The 14,308-nt window shown below is 46.1% G+C and overlaps 1 protein-coding gene across 16 annotated transcripts in view, besides 4 other annotated features; it reads right to left on the bottom strand.

The window, feature by feature from the left end:
• Window positions 1-14,308, bottom strand: part of VWA3B (von Willebrand factor A domain containing 3B) — a 243,450-nt gene that overhangs the window by 201,442 nt on the left and 27,700 nt on the right. For 12 of the 16 annotated variants that reach the window (XR_922885.4, XR_922884.2, NR_144297.2 and 9 more), the window contains exons 3-6: window positions 13,429-13,523; window positions 9,412-9,662; window positions 7,717-7,876; window positions 767-936 (exon numbers count right to left, since the gene is read on the bottom strand). Coding sequence is in view for 10 of the 16 variants with exons in the window: in NM_144992.5 (NP_659429.4) it covers window positions 767-936; window positions 7,717-7,876; window positions 9,412-9,662; window positions 13,429-13,523 (676 nt within the window). In the remaining 6 variants the exon portion in view is untranslated. Of the gene's footprint in view, window positions 1-766; window positions 937-7,716; window positions 7,877-9,411; window positions 9,663-13,428; window positions 13,524-14,308 lie in introns of those variants that run through there. The other 4 variants (NR_144296.2, NR_144298.2, XM_047443640.1 and 1 more) reach the window with 4 other exon arrangements.
• Window positions 335-629: a silencer, noted in NCBI's record as "tiled region #9320; K562 Repressive non-DNase unmatched - State 21:Repr". NCBI's record gives its function as "represses a minimal TATA promoter and a strong SV40 promoter by Sharpr-MPRA in K562 cells {active_cell/tissue: K562}" and the evidence as "EXISTENCE:reporter gene assay evidence [ECO:0000049][PMID:27701403]".
• Window positions 5,444-5,553: a silencer, noted in NCBI's record as "silent region_11799". NCBI's record gives its function as "represses an Ori minimal core promoter by ATAC-STARR-seq in GM12878 lymphoblastoid cells {active_cell/tissue: GM12878}" and the evidence as "EXISTENCE:reporter gene assay evidence [ECO:0000049][PMID:35858748]".
• Window positions 11,174-11,673: an enhancer, noted in NCBI's record as "H3K4me1 hESC enhancer chr2:98733965-98734464 (GRCh37/hg19 assembly coordinates)". NCBI's record gives its function as "activates a minimal SCP1, AML or CMV promoter by ChIP-STARR-seq in primed H9 embryonic stem cells {active_cell/tissue: H9 hESC(primed)}" and the evidence as "EXISTENCE:reporter gene assay evidence [ECO:0000049][PMID:30033119]".
• Window positions 11,674-12,175: an enhancer, noted in NCBI's record as "H3K4me1 hESC enhancer chr2:98733463-98733964 (GRCh37/hg19 assembly coordinates)". NCBI's record gives its function as "activates a minimal SCP1, AML or CMV promoter by ChIP-STARR-seq in primed H9 embryonic stem cells {active_cell/tissue: H9 hESC(primed)}" and the evidence as "EXISTENCE:reporter gene assay evidence [ECO:0000049][PMID:30033119]".

Below are 14,308 nucleotides of genomic sequence, written 5' to 3'. Positions count from 1 at the left end.
TGAGAACAGAGTGAGAAGGCAGCTGCCTACAAGGCGGGGAGAGAGACCTCACCAGAAACCGAATTCTCCTTCACCTAGTACTTCCCAGCCTCTAGAACTGTAAGAAATAAATACTTGTTAAGCCACCCAGCCTGTGGCAATTTGTTATGGCAGCCCAAGCTGACTAGCCCAGTTCCCAGGAGGAGAGAGGGGCACAGCGTGCCACGCAGGCCACACAGGGAAGCACCGGCTCAGCCGGGAGGCAGAGGGAGTGAGGGGAAAGGTAGGTGAGGACCTTTAGTGTGGATTCCAAGGGAAGGAACAGGAGAGGAAGGGTAAGCAGGCTATTTGAATAATTTCCCTGAGCTCTGGGGTGTAGGGGCTGTCCCGAGTTTTCTGGTGTGTGGCCCTGGAGTGATTAGGGTAGAGAACAGCGGTTCTAAGTGAGAGAGCCTGGATTGGCAGTGTGGGCTCTGGTTGGTTTGCATATGAAAGTGTGCCCCAGTGAGTAATTTGCTATCTCTAGGAATTGGCTAGCCCTGGGAGGGACAGGGTCTCCTGGACCAGCAAGGCACCAAGAGGTCAAAGCATAAGAATTGCAGAAAATAGAAAGTCATGATTAATACAAGACGGAGAAGAAAAGATGCAGAGAGACTAAATAATATACTGGAAAGAGGAGAACACAGCAACAGATTGGTTAAAGCCACGAAGAATGCAAGACCCACTGTTGATCCTGTGTGAGCAGGCAACCCGCTTGCTGTCACTCAAGAGCACATTTTCTGCCTACCTGCTGTGGGTCTTGGCACTCAGATCCTTTAGAAAAGCTATAGTGCCTTCTCCTCTGGCGTTGAAGGACACTGTGTAGACTGGACACGGGATCTCCAAGGCCCTCTGGAGGAGAAGCTCCTTGGATTCTTCAGGAACATCCCCCACCACAAAGTAGTAAATGGATTCAATCTGCAAAACAGTGGTGCCAACGGTTTATCTCCCTCACATGCCCTAGCTTGGTACTAGTCTCATCAGTAATACCCATTCTACAAAACGATCTCTTAGAAAAAATGGGCAGAAAGAATAGCAGCCCTGCCCAGGGTTTTCTGAGGACATCAGGGCCAGTCAGGAAGTGAGATATTCAAGGCTTGGTACCAGGAAGGTCTGTCAACAGTGGCTATTGTCTTGGGTAAGGCACGAGAAGAATATGGTTGGCAGATTTGGAGAACTTCCTCTGGGCCACAAATATATCGCACAGGTTCGGAGTGGTTATTTTCAAGTCAAGCAATGAAGGAAGGACTGGCACAGCCACTGCAGGCAGGGAGCTTATCTGCCATTGCCCGCGGCAGTGCCAGAATCCTACAATGCAAACTCATGCATCCTCTGTCTAAGGCAGAATGTGGAAAGGAGGGCACATCCTCAGCTGGCTCCACCTCTGGGCTCACCTAAGCAGGGACTCACACGCCCGGAGCTGGGGTGAGGCTGTCCTGACTGTGCACAGCTGGTCAGATGCCAGGTCCGCCTGCAGTGCCCTGCTTCTTGCCGCCAAACCAGGCCATGAGAAGAATGGAAGAATAAGCAACCCCTGTGTCAGGACACACCCCCCCCCCCCCCGCCCACACACACACACACACACAGCTTAAACCAGTGATTCTGGAAGATGCACACCTCCCCCAGTAAGCAGACAATCCCAGAGAAGTGCCAGCTGCTGAATTGAGAGACAGAGAACTCTCTATCTCAGGGCGGCCGCCCCTCCTGCTCTGCTGCAGCCCGGCCACCCTCGCTCCTCCCGGGACGGTGCTTCCACAGTCCTCCCCACCCCTGCCACCCAGGAGCTCTGTCACCTCAGGCAACTGACCTAACTTCAGTGTCTTCCCTTGTTAAAAGGGAGATAATGCAGTTTATTATTCATGATGGCATTGAAACAGGATGACTTCCAACTATGTGTGCATTTCTATACATCTCAGAAAGTAAAAAACCCAAGGAGAGCCAGGAATCCATATCCTCTCAACCTGGCCTATAAATGTCCCGATGGACTGTGTCCACACATAAATGGGGGAAGAAACCCCAGCAAATGCATTGTGTTAGAAGGTAAATAGATGTCACCATCCCTTTAGGATTCATGACCCTCTCCTTGCTCTAATCCCAAATCCCAATAAGCTGAAGATAGTCAACAAATGGCCTCACCTCAGTATCTATCCGAGGCCTTAAATGCACCTGGCCGGGAGGGTGGGGGGCGGGAGTCCTCATGGTTGATTTCTAGTTGGTTGGGGTGCTCTGCCTGCAGCAGATGGAGCAGACTGTGCCAAGGAGGTGGAAGGGATAGGGGTGGGACGCAGTGGGTGGGGCCCAGACTGGGACTTAGGAGAAGGACAGAGTGGGAGCTGAGATCAGGCCACTTGAGGCACAGAAAGCCCTGGCCCCTCCCAGGCCTCTTTCTCTCAGGCCTTTCAACGCCAGCTCCTGATTCTAAAAAGTACTGATCGAGCAGTAAAAGACTGAGGAATATTGTAAATTTATACAAGTCAGTAAACTGGAAGCGAGAAAAAACCCTGAAGGAAGGAAGAAACCATCTTCTCCAGATTCCTTGTAGCCAGCCAATACTGCTCTTCCAGCAGATGCGTTCTGTTTCACTCTTCTCCTGGTCTGATGCATGACCTTGTGGGAGACACATTTAAACGGCTTCCACTTAGCAGGCCTATTATTTATCCGAGTTTTCCAGCTGCGGCAGTGCCCAAGTTTAGCATGGGGACAGGTTCATCCTGTTGCAAGGATCTAAGTGACACATGGCCTGAGACAGGGGAGCAGACACAGAGTATTTTCTAGGGTTGGTCAGATGAAGAGGGAGGTGAGGACACACATCTCGAGGTGGTCTGTCAGCCACTCCTGACACCACACACGTCCAATGCACGTCATGTAAACTCAGCTTCTTTCCTCTGGCACTAATCCCAAAACCTGAAGTTCTTGTGCAGAAATGTTTTTCCCTTGAGATTTCATCAAACTGAAAATTGCTGTGAGTCAGGATTTATTTTCCTTTACTAAGGTTATGACATTATTCACTATTCATTAAGTTCATTACTCGGCTTCTTAATCACATACATTTTCAGTCAACTCCCTGTGTTACGCTACAGATTTCCTGGGACATGCTTTACATTGAGACCACCTATCCCCCCCACTCTCCTGTACACGGTCTTTCTGCCTCTCCTTTCTGCTCACGTGATGACACTTAGAAAAACAGAAAGGTGGCCGGGAGCGGTGGCTCATACCTGTAATCCCAGCACTTTGGGAGGCTGAGGCGAGCAGATCACGAGGTCGGGAGATCGAGACCATCCTGGCTAACACAGTGAAACCCCGTCTCTACTAAAAATACAGAAAAATTAGCCGGATGTGGTGGCAGGCGCCTGTAGTCCCAGCTACTGGGGAGGCTGAGGCAGGAGAATGGCGTGAACCTGGGAGGCGGAGCTTGCAGTGAGCCGAATCGTGCCACTGCACTCCAGCCTGGGCGACAGAGCGAGACTCGGTTTCAAAAAAAAAGAAAGAAAAGAAAAACAGAAAGGAGGATAAATATGCTACCTATTCCTGTCTGCCATCAAACTGGCAAAATGCCTCTTAAAGCAAAATGGCTTTAATACTGTTGGCTATTTGGGATGATAAACTAAAATGAATTATCTCACTCAATACAACAGTCCTGTGGAGCATGAATTATTACCATGCCCAGTTTACAGATGAAGAAACTGAGGCTTGGAAAGGAAAACTGAGTTGGCCTTGAAGCTGGTAAGCCTAGGCTGCCTGGCCCCACAAGCCCTGCCCTTGCTGTCCACGGCTACGCTGTGCTATTTGTGGCAAGGCTGGTCACCTGTTAGAGATGAATGTGAGCCCCAGAATTCTGAAAGTAAGAGCAAGCAATAGAAGGTGGCCCCAGACAGTCACTTTTTTCACTTCTGTGGTTACCCCACCATCCAAGGGTTCAGGCTCCTACCCCAGATACCAACATCACTGACCAAAAGTTGGGACCAGGAGATTGTTTGGCTTAAAGGAGTTATCCTCATGGGAATCTGCTCCCTTAACCAGTGTCTTTGAGCTCCTTGAAGGCAAAGTCCAGTCCTGAGGCTCAGTAGCAGCCTTCAGTCCAGGAGTAGCTTCCTCACCGACCACATTTCCCTAAATGCTGATTTGCACCGAATTTGATAAAATACATGAGTTCCATTCAGCTCCTTTAGAGTGAGTAAAAAGCTCTTGCCACTTCATATGACATCAAGTAGGGAGGAGCCTTTATGTTTTCACTTGAAATTCCTTATTCTATCTGGGCCATTCATTCTGCAGCTTCACACAGTAACATGCATTCTGCCCCGCCAAAGAGTCCTTGACATCTTCCTAGCTGCAGCTTTTGGGGGAAGAAAGAAACAGATTAGGAGTGTGTGCTTCTACTCTGACTGCCCTCTGCTCCACTGGCCAGAGCCTGTGCTCTCATCCCCTAGGCTTCCAGGTATAAAAATCTTCACTCTTCAAAGAGCAAAAAGAAAGTCAACCAGAACAGCAGCAAAAGATCCAGCAAAATTCTGTCTTGTTCTGCGTACACCTTTGAACACTGCAACATTTCTGGCCAACTCCAGTCCCTGGATCTGACCTCCAAATCCTCCCTGTACCTGTGGGAACCCTCTGCTGTCTCAGCCCATTTCATCTGATTCCCTCCATGGTAGTGACTGTCCCCATGGTATTGATCTAGTTCACCTCTCAGATCCCTCCTAGGATCCTTGACCACCACCGACTTTCTGGCCTCCCAGGTTTCAGGGTCTCTGTCCCCACCTGCCATCCCCACCAGGGTCCTACAAGACTCAGCAAATTCACCTGTTCAATCCCACACAGACCATCTCACTTCAAGTCACAAAACCCAAATCTATGCCATAGCTTGGAAATGGGACCCACATCTTCCCCTCAAACACAAGAATATGAAAATTATTTCCTTTCCAACCTTTCACTGTTCAACAAGCATTTATAGAGCCCTTGTTAGGCATCAGAGACACAAAAAAGAAAAGATCTGATGCCTGCCTGAACCACTAAAAGGAAATAAATGAACTGCCAGGGTCATGGATTAATGTGGCCAGGACTTCGGCTTTCAGTCCAGCAGTGAAGGTTCTTTATGAAATCATGTGGGTCTGTCTTTAATCCACTCACTTGGTCTCCCAGGAAATATGATTAAAAGAAACCAAAAACTAAACAGATGTGTGCCAGCAGGTGGATAGAAGAGAGGCTAAGAACAGAATCAGAAATGCAGGTATCTTCTGGGTAGGTGGCCTTGTCCTGGCAGAGAAGCAAAACCCCTTGGTCTTCTTAGGCAGCTTAGAACCAGGGCTCTGGGTAAACAGCCTTCCCTTTCATCCTGTACACCACCCTTCCTCGTGAGGCCTGGGAAGCTACTAACTTCCAAAGATGCATGTCCTGGACCAGGGCTACTGAAGAGCAGAAACTCTGTGCCGGTCCACACACCTGGTCTCTGAGGATGTCAACCCCCTCAACCACCAAACATGTCCCCAGGACCCCACGTGCTGCCCTCCCAGTGAGCCAGGTTCCTTTTCATGAGACACAACAGTAATTCATCTATCAATCATGCTCTTTCAGTGCTATGTGTCGAGCCAGCATTTCAACAGACCTCCCACTCTGCATGTGCTCTTCTTAGACCTCAAGGCTCTCTCTCGTTGCTTCCTGTTTCAGTCTTCCTGGCCCGCGGTGGTTACAAAGCCTGTGCCTGGAGGGGGCCAGGAGCCTCTCTGGGCATCTTCCTTCTCCATGACCAAGCACGTGGTTCAGCCCTACTCCTCATGTGGGCTTGGTATAGAAACGGGACTTGCATGTTAATTTGTGGGCACAAGACAATGCCCACTTTCCTGGCTCCTCTCAGCACCCGCTCATGGAGGGAGATGCTAACTTGCAGCAGGCTGTCATCAGTAGGAACAGTCTAGGTGTTTATATTAGCTGCTCAAAAAATTCTTTAAGCCTTCCATCTTTTCTATTCAGAGCAAACTGCAGCCATCTGGATGAATTCAGAACTCGCTGGGATGGGCATGACAGGTGTGGAGCAGAGAAGCAGGACTTATGGGAACCCACTCCCCCCTGCCACACACACATGTGTTTTTTAACTCCTCATAAAACATAGGACACGGCATTTTTATATGCAAGGCAGTTGCATTTGCTAGAATTTTCCTTGAGACCACCCCCAGATCAAGGCTGTGGGCAGAGGGGCACAGCGGTCTGTGCAGGGCTTGCATGTGCTGCTCCACGGTCTCTTCTCAAAAGCTTTCAGGCTGCATTTGATGATCAGTGCCTGGAAGCTTCTTTCTTGATTCCTTTTCTTCCATAGGACTTCCCTGGAACTCACTGAATTGTTCCTTACTTCCTGGAATAGGAATGAACCCCGGAGAAAGGAGAGGCACGAACCAGAAGGAGTGAAACAGAAAGACAGGGTCACTGGCGGATCCTGCAGTCAGGTCAGGGGGCCACAGGCAGCTGTGACCACAATAGCCAGGTTCATAGACAAAGAGAACAGCTGTGTGCCCAGGCTCATGCACACACACCCTGAGCCTGGGAATGTTCCATTTTTTTGAATGCTTATTAAGGTGTCCAGACACTTGAAATTTTACAGATGTTAAAACAAACTCAAAGGACCAAGGAACAAACTAGCTTGTATCTGGTTCTTCTTTAATGGAAAACATTTGTTCTTTTGGCCTTGGAAGGAAAAGCAATGTGTTTCCAATTACAAACCATTGCCCTCAGTATTGATAAACACAGGCCGGTGACCACTGGGGGCTATCTTTCAAGATGCCAACACGTGGCTTCTTTCTCCAACAATGGACTTCTTGATGCAGCTGGGTAAAGTCTGAAACCTACAGAAACCCCAGACTTCCAGAGTGGAGGAAGCACATAATTGTTAAGTAACTGTATCCAAAGGCAAGCAGACCTTCCCACAGGGAGTCCAGGCTGGCCAAAGGACCCCGCCTGCCCAGAGTGTGTCTCCACTGGCTTGCCACTGCCCCAACACTCCCATCACTAGAGTCACTCCCAGAAACACAGACCCTGTGGCTCAAAGAGACATAACACACCACCATCTAATCACTTCTTCCAGGTAAAGCTTTATTTCCAAAAATGTCCCTATCAAAATTCATGTCAATACATTGACATCCAAAAATGGATGGAGTCATCAGCTTGCGCGTACTTCACCTTGGAAAGTGTGTGACAGATGACAGATCCATCTGTGAAGAAGAGTAACTAGGAAAGATTCAGAATATGGATGCTGGGAAAACCTTATTTCCTCATCCTCAGGGTTCTATGAGGAGTCTTCCAATCTCTCTCTCCTCCTCATAAGAGATAGACTGACTGATCTAATTGGTAGGAGAGCAAGAGTGAAGTTAATATGGCAAAGATGCACAACTATGGCCTCACTCCTGTCCCTTCTCGGTGCTCGGTGGGTGTGAGTCGCACTCGGCTCTCCCGACACTGGCTAAACAAGGGTCTACCCTGCATCCCCAGTCACCCCACAGAGGGAGCCTAGCCAGGTTCAGGAGACGGGTATTCAGGGGCCTCATTTGGGTTGTTCCAGCTATGCCATCACCATCAGTGCCCAATGGGATCTCTGTCGGATCCTGCTGGGAGGGGCCCAAGATCAGTTGAAGGGCCGTGTAAAGTCACTGAGTGTGAAGAGTTAAGCTGGAAGCCACCTCCATGGCCTGGGGCCAGCCATGAACACGCACTTACAGTCTTGTCTCTCCCGGCTTCCAGCAGAGCATCCAGGCGGCCAGCCTCGCTCACAGTCAGCTCAACCGTCAGTTTCTCAACCCAACTGATGGCAGTAGCTATGGACTGTTCGGTCACAGGAGTAGCATTTTCCTGCCACTTCACAGGCTCTTGAGAAACCCTGAAAAGGATCACATGGAGTGGTCACTGGGCAGTGATCAGTGCTACTGGGATGCCAAACCTCCGTCTCACAGCCATGAGCAGCAAGCTGCCAACATCCATCTCTAGAGCTGAAAAAGAAAGAAATCATAGCTCCCAGCCCTCTGATGTTACCAACAAAACCAGCAAGCTGTTTAAGACAGGTTCCCAAAGCACCACTACCTTCTATAAGCTGTGCTGACTAGGAAAAACAATGTTTACATGAGAAACAGAAAGGTAAACACTAATAATGAGTCCTTTAAAACATTAAGAGAAGTTATTTTTTATAAACAGGCAAGTTTATATGTAACTGGCTTCACTTAATAGTACATTTATAATAATTCACAGTATTAAGGTTTGCAAATCACCAGCAATTCTATTGCTCTAAAATTTTATTTCTAATTCTTTCATGACATTGTTTTCATTGTCCTGAAAGATTCCCATAGGTTGCCTTCTTTTGGATTAATACTGGTATTGTTTTGAGTTCAACAGAGTATTAGTTTTTAAATCCTGAGAAAATTTGGTTAAACCATTTAGTTTGGGCTTATAAAAGACTGGTAGAACTCCCAATTCCAAAAAAAGAAGAGCCATTTGAATTATCTCAATTTATTTGCACTTGATAATTGCAAATAAACTGGCCCGATTGCCCCCATGGCCTGCCACCAGAAGCAGGGCTGGCTCACACTCGTGTCTGCTGTGTGCTTCCTGGGTAGAGAATCTGGCTGAGTGGCATCTGTGTTGTACAGAGGTTTCCAAGAAAGCAAAAGCTTTGCAGACTTAAGCACTTGATTCCTTCAGTAATACACCTGTGACAGAAATAGGAAGCTAGATAGAACATAATTAGGCATTGTCCCCAAAGATGTCCTCTATTTAGCTGAAAGTATTTGATTAAAAACAGAAAAACTGAATGAGGTAGATCCTTCCCCAACCGTTATCCAGATGTTTTTTGTCAGGGAGGTGCAATAACTTTTCCAGATGAGAAGTTAATGCTAAGGTCCAAATTCTCTTGAATCCAAGAATCCATAAATAATTGGTTGTGAAAACTCTGAAATATGGGAAATTCTATAAAGCCAGCCACCTGTTGTTCTGGTGAAAGGGGTCAACTTATAGGGGAGGTCAACTTGAGTTGCAACTTCAGTCTGGAAAATCAGTGAAATTAGTGACATTTGAATTCATTACCCAAGTTAAAAGCTAAAATGAATGAAGAGATTTATGGCCTTAAATATATATTTGCCATAACTCATATTCTTATATTTTAACCTTCCCATGCACTGAAGAAATGCATGTTTCTAAATCTCTTTTAATGTGAAAGCTAAGACACCCTGTGCAAAGCAGATAAAAGTTCCTAAGATTTATTCACTGTGGGATTGCTGCTGAAATTACATCTTCTAGGAAAGTATAAGATAATGCCTCTTCCCTCACCAGAGAGCTAACTGTGTCAGCTGTGCTACTTAATTCCAAATATGTACAAATTACTATGAACTTTCACTAAAATACTCCCTTCCTATGGGAACTCACCGTATGATATTGAACTCGGTTATGTGAGCCACCTGCTCCTGGAGAACCATTGTTAGAGCCTCTCGGCACAGATCAAGCTCCCCCTCCAGAATGCCGCCAAAATCCAGCACTATGGTGACGCACTGTTCCAAGATGACACCAAAAATCTGCCGGCTCTTGCTGGTGAGCCAGTCCATTCGCTGCTTGTAGCTCTCCACAGCTTGTGTTAAATGTTCCACAAACTGATAAATCAGTTCTGATTTAGCTGTCAGCTTAATGAAAATAAAAGACAAAAACAATAAAACAACACCAAAATAAGTCATTTGAACCACAGTGCTGCCACCGAGAACTGTGCACTCATAACAGTGTTGTCAATGACCCTCCAAACACTACAGAATCCAGGAGAAAAGGTTCCAGTCTTTCAACAGAAAAACGCTTGGATTCTCCACAGAAGAAAAGATGATAATATGATCTATTCAAAATACAGCAGTCCTTAAAAAATATCTTTCCAGATTATGTTTTATCTTTATAGTTACAGATTATCTTTATCAGAAAAAGCCCAGGGTACTCTTAAGAAATTAGGTAGGAGAAAAGACCAACAAAGGCAGATGGAAAATAATGTCTCACTAAAACGTTTTCCTAAACATAACATTCCAAAAATATTTCTGAAAATGCTACTGAACATGCCAGCACACCTTCCTGGCTTCCTCTAAAGGATGCCATCCCAGCTACACATCCTTCTGCTCATGACTTTTGTCCTCATGCCCTCCTCTCTCGGGTGAAGCTCTCCTGCACCTGGACCACCTGATCACTCACTGCTGCTACCAGCAGCCCTTGAGCTGCCCCCAAATGGTGACAGAGACTTGCAGGAAGTTTCTTGTATGTACAAATAAACCATCCTTCACATAGATCAGACACACTGTGCAAGGCCTTTCAAGAGGTAGAGAGGCAATAGAAGACATAGACAAGGAACAAGAAAAAATTGTGCCCTATTCTGTGACAAAGCACATTTTATTTTATTTTATTTTATTTTATTTTAGCAGTTGCAAGATTTAATAGAGTGAAAACAGAGCTCCCATACAAAGGGAGGGGACCCAAAGAGGGTAGCCGTTGCTGGCTCAAATGCCTGGGTTTATATCCCGATCACTGTCCCTCCCGCTGTGTTCTCAGGCAATAGATGATTGGCTATTTCTTTACCTCCTGTTTTTGCCTAATTAGCTTTTTAGTGAGCTCTCTTTACTATCTGATTGGCCCGGTGTGAGCTAAGTTGCAAGCCCCGTGTTTGAAGGTGGATGCGGTCACCTTCCCAGCTAGGCTTAGGGATTCTTAGAGCACATTTTAAAAGAAGATACGGTACTTTATCTTGGAAAATGTGCTTTCAGACCACATCACCTCATTCCACATTTTTGTGGCTTGGCTCAGGCTCCTTCCTTCCCTGTCCCATGTGTCTGTCAACCTCATTCCTCAAGCTCCAGCATCACTTCTTGGAGGCTTCTCATGGCCCCTTAAGACAGAATTACCAGCTCCTTCACCAGCATCCACAGCTACTGCTACAACACAGAAGCCAGGGTGGGCACATCACAGGGAATGTGGAGGTGGATTTTAAAGGTAAAGGGACAGGTGTTTTTAAAAGTTTTGCATTGATTTTAATGTGGTTCAGATAAAAAATATACTTAGCACATCAAACTGAAGATTCCACAGATAGTATTGCTTAGGACCAGGCTTAGTTTAAAAAGGAATTTAAGCTGGACCTGGCATGATGGCTCATGCCTGTAATCCCAGGACTCTGAGAGGCCAAGGTGAGTGAATCACCCGAGGTCAGGAGTTCGAGACCAGCCTGGCCAACATGGTGAAACCCCATCTCTACTAAAAATACAAAAAGTAGCTGGATACGGTGGCGCACACCTGTAGCTACTTGGGAGGCCGAGGCTGGAGAATCGCTTGAACGCAGGAGGCGGAGTGAGCTGAGATGGCACCACTGCACTCCAGCCTGGGTGACAGAGTGAAACTCCATCAAAAAAAAAAAAAAAAAAAAAGGTAATTTAAGCTTTGGAAAAAGTAAGTAGTGGGTGCATCTTCAAGCTGAAGGCAACCTACCACCCCCATCATGGAGGTTTCTCCAAGGGCTGAATGGCCTGGCTGTCCCTCTTACAGTATCCCTCCAGGCTCTCTGCTGTTTCCTGGGCAGCCCCAACACCCCACCAGGGTATTTTCACCCATGGCCCCCCTGCTGCCCCACCAGAGCATTGCCAGCAGCCCCTAATGGAAGGCTTTTGCCAGCAGCCTGGTAGCACATTGGCTGCCCCAGCGCAGCCAGTGTTCGACCTCAAGGGGCCAGAGGACAAAGCCACAGCCCAGTTCTAGGCCCCAGGGTTACAGCATGCAGCCCAGGAATGCTGAGCTGAGCGTTGGCCCTCTGAAAGCATCCGGAAACTAAGCCAATCAGCTATACCCAACTCACACCACAGTCAAACCCTCAAGGGAAATAAAGAACATAAAAACAAAAAGGCCCATCCAAAGGATGGCAACTTAAAAGGATGAAGAAACATCAGCCTTCACAGGTGAGAAAGAACCAGTGCAAGAATTCCGTAAACTCTTCAGTCCAGAGTGTCCTCTTACCTCCAAGCAATCACACTAGCTCCTCAGCAGTGGTTCTTAACCAGACTGAAATGGCTGAAATGACATTGAATTGAGGATCTGGATGTCAAGAAAGCTCATAAAGATACAGGAGAAGGTGGAAACCCAATCCAAGGAAAATGGTAAAATAATCCAAGAATTGGATGATATAGCCATATTAAGAAAGAACCAAACTGAACTTTTGGAATTGAACAATTCACTACAGAAATATCATAATACCATCAGAATCATTAACAACAAACTAGACCAAGCTGAGGAAAGAACTTCAAAGTTGAAGAATCACTCCTTTGAATCAATGTAGGCAGACAAAAATAAAGAAAAAGGGGCAGGCATGATGCCTTACACATGTAATCTGAGGCATGAGGTTGAGGCCAAGGCAGATGGGAGGCCCAGGCAGGCGGATTGCTTGAGCTTAGGAGTTCAAGACCAACCTGGGCAACATGGCGAGACCCCGTCTGCAAAAAAATACAAAAATTAGCTGGGTGTGATGGCACACGCCTGTGGTCCCAGCTACTTGGAGGGCTGAGGTGGGAGGATCGCTCGGACCCGGGAGGTCAAGGCTGCAGTGAGCCATGAACACACCACTGCACTCCAGACTGGGTGATAGAACAAGAAAGTGTCTCAAAAGAAAAAGAGAATTTAAAAAAATGAACAAAACCTCTGAGACACATAGGATTACGTAAAGAGACCAAACCCATGACTCATTGGCATTCTTGAAAGAGAAGGAGAGTAAACAACTGGAAGACATATTCGAGGATAGGGTCTACAAAAATTTTCTCAAAAAAAAAAAATTTACCAATAAAAGTAACTTAAATTTTCTAAATATTAGGAAACAGTAGTCCAGGTGGTACATGGATGTACATAGACATGAACAAATATCCATAAATGGACGTGATGGGACATGTGTCTCCAACAGACTTTGAGCTCCATGTGGTTGGCCTGGGTCTGCACAGGGCCTGGCATGTAGGAGACGTGAGACTCAGGTGCTGAATTGCTGGGAGTAAAGGCCTCTGGTCAGAGGTGGTGCTCATTCTCCTATCTGCAAATGCTGCCCCTATTCCTAATGCTTCTCTCAGATAATGGCAGTTTGCTCTTGGCTTTCAGATCATCTCTGTCATATTTTTTTTTCCTTTATTTTCAAAGCAAAACGAAGTGGTAATGTGCAAAGGTTTTCATCTCTCATCAAGAGTTTTCTGCACTAATTTCTAATGGATCAAAAACTTCCTTCCTTGGCCATGATTTTCATCACCCTATCAATGCCAAAAGAAAACCCCCAGCCTAATAAGGGCTTGGCTCAGCTGCATCCCTGCCAAGCAGCACAAGTCTCTCCCCACACTGCACTCTCCGATGTGATGTCAGCACCATGTCACAGGACTGCGCATTGAGGGAACTCTGACTTACATTGTATACTCTGCCATCTTCTGCTCTGTAGAGCTGTGGAAACAGACCATCAGCATACCGAGAAGCCACAGGTCTCCCCAGAGACGCCACATAATCTGCATTTTTATAAAGAAAAACAATCAAAACAGTAGTACATGAGTGAACCTTCCTATTTTTATTTTGAAATGTTTTTCTCTGACACCATTCAAATTATATCTTGTGCCATCAATAATTTGTGATGCTTTCTATTCTGTTCTAAATCATGAAGTATTTCTAGGTGCTGTGATAAATGTAACTGTCTATGGCATTGTAATATTTTTCTTTATTATACTTTAAGTTCTCAGGTACATGTGCACAATGTGCAGGTTTGTTACATATGTATACATGTGACATGTTGGTTTGCTGCAACCATCAACTCATCATTTACATTAGGTATTTCTCCTAATGCTATCCCTCCCGCCTTCCCCCACCCCACGACAGGCCCTGGTGTGTGATGTTCCCCATCCTGTGTCCAAGTGTTCTCATTGTTCAATTCCCACCTATGAGTGAGAACGGCATTGTAATCTTTTAATGCATGAATAAACAGGAAGAATAGAATTTGTGTCCTAGTTTCCTTGTACTTTGGTCCAGAGTAATTACAACAGAGGTTAAAAAAAAAAAAAAAAAGCAACATAGGAAGTTATTCGTGACTTGGACTTGGTTTTCAGGGTTTTTAAAATTTCACTTAGATATTTCAACTGTACTCTCAACTGAAGGGTCATAATTAAATCACTGAAATAAAGCCAGCCGGTCACAGATTCAGAATTGCCATACAGAATGTCAGAACTACAAGATTTTCTCCTTATCAGATTATATGCTCAGCTATTCAAATATCTGTTGCATAAACCCTTATTGGGTGCCT

This window comes from Homo sapiens, chromosome 2 (genome assembly GCF_000001405.40).
Source record: "Homo sapiens chromosome 2, GRCh38.p14 Primary Assembly".
Taxonomy (NCBI): Eukaryota; Metazoa; Chordata; class Mammalia; order Primates; family Hominidae; genus Homo; species Homo sapiens.
Note: the sequence above shows the minus strand (reverse complement) of the source record. Positions and strands in the feature narration are given on the sequence as shown.